Source organism: Homo sapiens, chromosome 7 (assembly GCF_000001405.40).
Source record: "Homo sapiens chromosome 7, GRCh38.p14 Primary Assembly".
NCBI classification, from domain to species: domain Eukaryota; kingdom Metazoa; phylum Chordata; class Mammalia; order Primates; family Hominidae; genus Homo; species Homo sapiens.
In genome coordinates, this window is record NC_000007.14 from 40234243 (window position 1) to 40240242 (window position 6000).

The window sequence follows — 6000 nt, forward strand, 5'->3', positions numbered from 1 at the left end:
TGCTGAGATAACAGGTGGTTCACAGTGCACAGGCCTTCCTGCCGATGGTGGCAGCTTCTTTCTGTTCCTGGAGACTTGTTTTGTGCTGGGGACTACCAGTGGTTTGAAAACCATTGCTTTGAAGGCTGGAATCCCGGGCCAGGGTGCCCTCTACAGCAGCACACTACCTGCCCTGGAACTCATTCTCTAAAACTTGGCGTTATTTCTGCACAGAGAATGTTGGCTTATAGTTTATTTCTCTTTATTTGCTTCATATCCCATTTTTGTTCTTCTAAAGACTGAGAAAGTAATAGTTAAGAATTTATACATTTTGTTATTGATATTGGGAGATAAAACTGTAATTTACCTGAATCAAGACGTTTGGGTTTTTCAGTATGGTTTTATGTGGCCGGGCGTGGTAGCTCATGCCCAATCTCAGCACTTCGGGAGACTGAGGCTGGTGGATCACTTGAGCTCAGAAGTTCAAAACCAGCCTGGGCAACATAGTGAAATCCCATCCCTACCCAAAATGCAAAAATTAGCTGGGTGTAGTGGTGTGTGCCTGTAGTCCCAGCTACTGGGGAGGCTGAGGGGGGAGAATTGCTGGAACACAGTCAGTCGAGGTTGCGGTGAGCCCCGACGGTGCCACTGCGCTCCGGTCTGGGTGACAGAGTGAGACCCAGTTTCAAAAAAAAGAAAAAAGAAAAAAAAAAGAAAAAGATAATGGTTTTATTTTTTCTTCATGTAACAGTTCTAATTGAAAGATAGGCATAGTGGAAATAAAATTGACCATGAATAATTATTGAAGTTGACCGATGGGTTTATTATATATTCTATCTATTTTTATTTGAAATTTTCCAAGATAAAACATAAGCAGAGACATGTTTTAACACCTTTTTTTAATCATCAATAATTATAATCTTGAATTATTTTAATTCCTTCATATTAAGTGATAATTTTATCTGTGGAGTTTGTTTTACATACTCTTATTTGTGACAAAGATCATTTCTGGTGGCGAATGCATCTGGGTAGATTAATTGGTGATTATCACTCACTTTTGTGGTTTTATTTATTTACTTTTTATAGATTGTTTTTGAAAAAAATTTTTGTTATTTTTATTTTTTGAGACAGACTCTCACTCTATTGCCCAGGCTGGAGTGCAGTGGCATGAACTTGGCTCACTGCAACCTCCACCTCCTGGGTTCAAGCGATTCTCCTGTCTTAGCCTCCCAAGTAGCTGGACTACGGGCATGCACCACCACGCCTGGCTAATTTTTGTAATTTCAGTAGAGACGGGGTTTCACCATGTTGGCCAGGCTGGTTTCAAACTCCTGACCTCAAGTGATCTGCCTGCATTGATCTCTCAAAGTGCTGGGATTATAGGCGTGAGCCACCGCATCCAGCCAAAAAATTATTTTTATATAAAATATTTTTGCACTCATTCATTCCTTCAATAAATGTTATTGAACACTGTTCTAGAGGCTGGGGATACAGCAGTGAACCAAACAGAAAAACATTCTGGAGTATACACTTTAGTAGGGAGGAGACAAAATAAATCTAACAAATAATGGTATTGTGTTTCTATTGTGATAAGTGCTGTGGCAACATATATAATGAGGGTGCTCTTTTACAAAAGGTTGAGGGAGAGTCTTCCAGGTGGCTGGAGAAACAAGGCTTGCAGGCAACCCTTTCATGGCCTTCCTAAAGCAGCATATGCAGGGAATATCAGCAAGTAGCTGATGTGTATGGAAAGCTCTTCATTGGGTCACTCTGCTTGATATGAAGGATTTGGAGACAAATTTATGTAGCTTCTGATACAACCTTTATTTATTTTTATTTTTGTTATTATTTTTTGAGGCAGAGTCTTTCTCTGTTGCCCAGGCTGCAGTGCGGTGGTGCAATCTCGGCTCACTGTAACCTCTGCCTCCCGGGTTCAAGCAGTTCTCCTGCCTCAGCCTCCCCAGTAGCTGGGATTACAGGCGCCTACCACCACACCCAGCTAATTTTTGTGTTTTTAGTAGAGACGGGGTTTCACTGTGTTGGCCAGGCTGGTCTTGAACTCTTGACCGCAGGTGATCCTCCCGCCTCCCAAAGTCCTGGGATTATAGGCGTGAGCCACCACGCCTGGCCTGATACAACTTTTATGATGTAGCAATAAGCATCAGGACTGAGGGGAGTAGAAGAAAATCTTTCCTGTGTTCTGTTGATTCTTTCTGATGGCAAAAAAAAAAAAAAAAATTTGACACCTTCTCTACCTTCTCTTTGTAATCTTAAAAATCACTTAGTTGATGTTATTGTTTATTTATGTCCAAATCTTAAAATCATTTAGGTTTTCTTTGTTTACTTGAGAAAATACATAAATAGAACTCAGGGAGATATTGTTCTGCTTAACTTTGTATATTAGCTTAACTTTGTATATTACTGTGTACAAAGCAAGGGTAGCAAATACCTGTTGGAGTCAGGGAAGTACTTGAAACCCGGCTGAGGCATATGGAAGTAGAGTGGTGGACCCTGTGGCAAATCAGAGGATTTATGCCCTATGTAGAGGGGAGAGGCAATACTCGACTCTAATTGATTATTGCATGTGAGAATGTGGGCCTGGTTTTGAATTATTTCCTTTTTTTTTGTTTTAAAGGGAGTCTCCCTGCATTGTCCAGGCTGGAGTGCAGTGGTGCAATCTCAGCTCAATGCAACCTCCACCTCCTGGTTCAAGTGATTCTTGTGCCTCAGCCTTCCCAGTGGCTGGGATTATAGGCATGCACCACCACACCTGGCTAATTTTTGTATTTTTAGTAGAGATGGGGTTTCACCATGTTGGCCAGGCTTGTCTTGAACTCGTGACCTCAAGTGATCCGCCCACCTCAGCCTCCCAAAGTGCTAGGATTACAGGCGTGAGCCACCGCACCCGGCCTGAGTTTTTTTTTAAGAATAGCCAGGGTAGGCCAGGCGCGGTGGCTCATGCCTGTAATCCTAGCATTTTGGGAGGCTGAGGCAGGTGGATCACTTCACATCAGGAGTTTGAGACCAGCCTGGCCAACATGGCGAAACCTTGTCTTTACTGAAAATACAAAAATTAGCTGGGTGTGATGGTGCACGCCTGTTATCCTAGCTACTCGGGAGGCTGAGGAAGGAGAATCACTTGAACCTGGGAGGTGGAGGTTGCAGTGAGCCGAGATCGAACCACTACACTCCACCCTGCTCGACGGGAACGAGACTCCATCTCAAAAAAAAATGAGTAGCCGGGGTCGAGCACTATAATGAATTCTTACTGCCTTCTTCAAGGAATGGTATAGATCTAATAGTCTCGAAATGCTGCAGGATTTCTGGATACAAATGTTTCTAACACACTATATTGTACAGTGGTTTTAGCACACCCTGTGTGGTGCTGAATATGTTTATTTTTGTTGTTTTAGGGTATGGTCAGACAGGTCCAATTTCTCAGCGAGCTGGTTATGATGCTGTTGCCTCGGCTGTTTCTGGTCTGATGCACATCACAGGGCCTGAGGTAGGTATCCTTCCTTAGAATATTCATAATTTCTTCCCTTACATATTCCAAAAGGATTTTACTCTGCACTAACCCATAGGATTAAATGAGTTGTTAGGTTGGGGCAAAAGTAATTGCTGTTTTTGCCATTGAAATTAATAATTTTAGAAAGAAACCAGGGAAAGTGAATGCTTATGAAAGTAAAACAGGAAGTGTTCATTACAAATGTATTGAGTCTAAACATCAATTTGGCCACATGGAAAAGAGCAATGTTTTTAGCAAGAAGCCATAGATCAGATGGTGAACACACTTTCCACATTTATTATGTTATTCAAGCTTAATATAGGCACCTTTGTGTGATTTAGGAATATTCCCTCTTTGAAATAAAACAGTTGACTAGACTAGACCACGGATGTCCATTTCTACTAGAGTGCCTTCATCTGCCATGTGTACATAGCAGAGGGTCTATTTTTCCTTTTGGAAAAATATAGGTAGTTATGTATTTGAAAATTTGTTGCTTAAAGCCTCCCTCAGGTTTAAATGTATCTAATTTGTCATGTGCCTTAGATTCTGACAGTGAAATAATTATTTGATTTTATAATAATTCCTCTCCATTGATAGTGGTTTGGGAAGTTCCTAACAAGTATTTAGATGGCCAAAATGTGGTTGGTTAGATTAAAAAAAAGGCTCTCGGGGAAAGCAATATGAATGACGTTAAACAAAGTGAAAAAAATTGTGAAAGCCTAGTAAATAAAAATGCTAAAACACACCCATTTCAAAACAAACTAGATTGATGGCCTTAAAAAACTTGTTTCAGTGGGTGTTCATTCTCCAAATCACTTCTTCTAGTTAATTCTTCAGGAAATATTGCTTGCTGTAGTGTTGGAATAAACTGAGACAGAGTGACCTCAAGTCTTTTGCAGTCTTCCTTTTATTTAATTTTACTTATTAATTAATTAATTATTTTCCTTTGCCTCTATTTTCTCATGATGAGATTTACTTTTTATTAATTTCAAAGCAACTGTTGGGGTTTTAATTTCTGGAAATACAAAGTTATTGTACTTTCATCTTCGTTTCATTTTCACAAGTCTTAGAAAAAAATGTGTGTGGCCTTTGCTTTTTTTTTTTTTTTTAAGTCAGAGTCTTGCTCTGTCGCCCAGGCTAGAGTGCAGTGGCGTGATCTCAGCTCACTGCAGCCTCTGCCTCCTAAGTTCAAAGGATTCTCCTGCCTCAGCCTCCCGAGTAGCTGAGATTACAGGTGCCAGCTACCATGACCAGCTAATTTTTGTATTTTTAGTAGAGACATGGTTTCACCGTCTTGACCAGGCTGGTCTTGAACTCCTTACTTTGTGATCCAATCCCAGTGCTAGGATTACAGGCATGAGCCACCACATCTAGCCTGTTTTGTTTTATTTGAGACAGGGTCTCCAGGCTGGAGTGCAGCCTCCGTGGCACACTGCAGCCTCCTGGGCTCAATAGATTCTCCAACCTCAGCCTCCAACATAGCTTGGACTACAGGTGTGTGGCACCAAACCTGACTAATTTTTAAATTTTTTGTAGAGATGGTGTCCCATTATGTTGCTCAGGCTTGTCTTGAACTCCTGGACTCACGACATCTTGGCCTCCTAACGTGATGGGATTACAGGCATGAGCTGCTGTACCCTGCTGGCCTTCCCTTAAAATATTCAAGAGCACCAGTTTTCTTTCCATCCATTGAGAGAATAGAGCATGGACATTTCTCTCATTGCTCAATTCCATAGGCTCTCATGTGGCCAAGACATTCTTTATTGTGAATGGTTTTATTTAAGGGTGTTGAACTCAATTAGGAATATGTGAAAAGATCTGGGATTTAAAAATTTCTATATTCAAATGGTAAAATGAATTAAATGAAAAACTGTTGAGCTGGGGGATTACTGTAGTTCCTTTAGTACATTGCACTGTGGTCTAACAGGGATAATCACACAGTATATGCTCAACCTTATAATTTCTCAGTCAATAACAGCTTTTATCTCTTGTGTTACCCTACTCAGGTGATTTTTGTTCTAGGTGAGCAAATAACATTTATTGAGTGCTTGGTATGTGCCAAACATTGCTTTATATACTTTCCATGTATTACATTAAGTAAGCTTAACTCTCACACTGTATTTCTTTCACATGGACACATCTTTCATTCCTTAATTAAGTTACACATCAACCTAGTAAGTAGTTACCGCATCTGTTTCCTACTGTACGGTGGGAATGGTGGTAGGCGCTGGAGATTAAGCAGGCAACAGGACAGGCACAGTCCTTATCTTCCTATAGCTGTTAAGTAGGGAAAACAAACATTAGCAGAAAATATTTATTACATGCAAATAAAAAGAACTGCGAAGAAGAGTACAGGGTGCTATGAACATATATAAATAACAGTGTGCCTCAGGCCATTATTATGCTTCTAAAGATCTCCATAAAGTGTGGTTTGACAGCTAAAGATAAAAGCTGATTGAAAAGAATCAGGCCAGCTTGGCACAGTGGCTCATGCTTGTAATCCCAGCACTTTG

At 40.6% G+C, this 6000-nt stretch overlaps 1 protein-coding gene and 1 long non-coding RNA gene across 20 annotated transcripts in view; one reads left to right on the forward strand and one right to left on the reverse strand.

The window, feature by feature from the left end:
* The window catches only part of SUGCT (succinyl-CoA:glutarate-CoA transferase), a 903812-nt gene that overhangs the window by 99238 nt on the left and 798574 nt on the right, over positions 1-6000 (forward strand). For all 19 annotated transcript variants that reach the window (XR_007060157.1, XR_007060158.1, XR_007060156.1 and 16 more), the window contains exon 7: positions 3393-3484. Coding sequence is in view for 16 of the 19 variants with exons in the window: in XM_047420840.1 (XP_047276796.1) it covers positions 3393-3484 (92 nt within the window). In the remaining 3 variants the exon portion in view is untranslated. The remainder of the gene's footprint in view (positions 1-3392; positions 3485-6000) is intronic.
* The window catches only part of LOC105375245 (uncharacterized), a 57295-nt gene continuing 56968 nt past the window's right edge, over positions 5674-6000 (reverse strand). Inside the window, exon 3 of the long non-coding RNA XR_927196.3 lies at positions 5674-5764. This is a non-coding gene — a long non-coding RNA (uncharacterized LOC105375245). The remainder of the gene's footprint in view (positions 5765-6000) is intronic.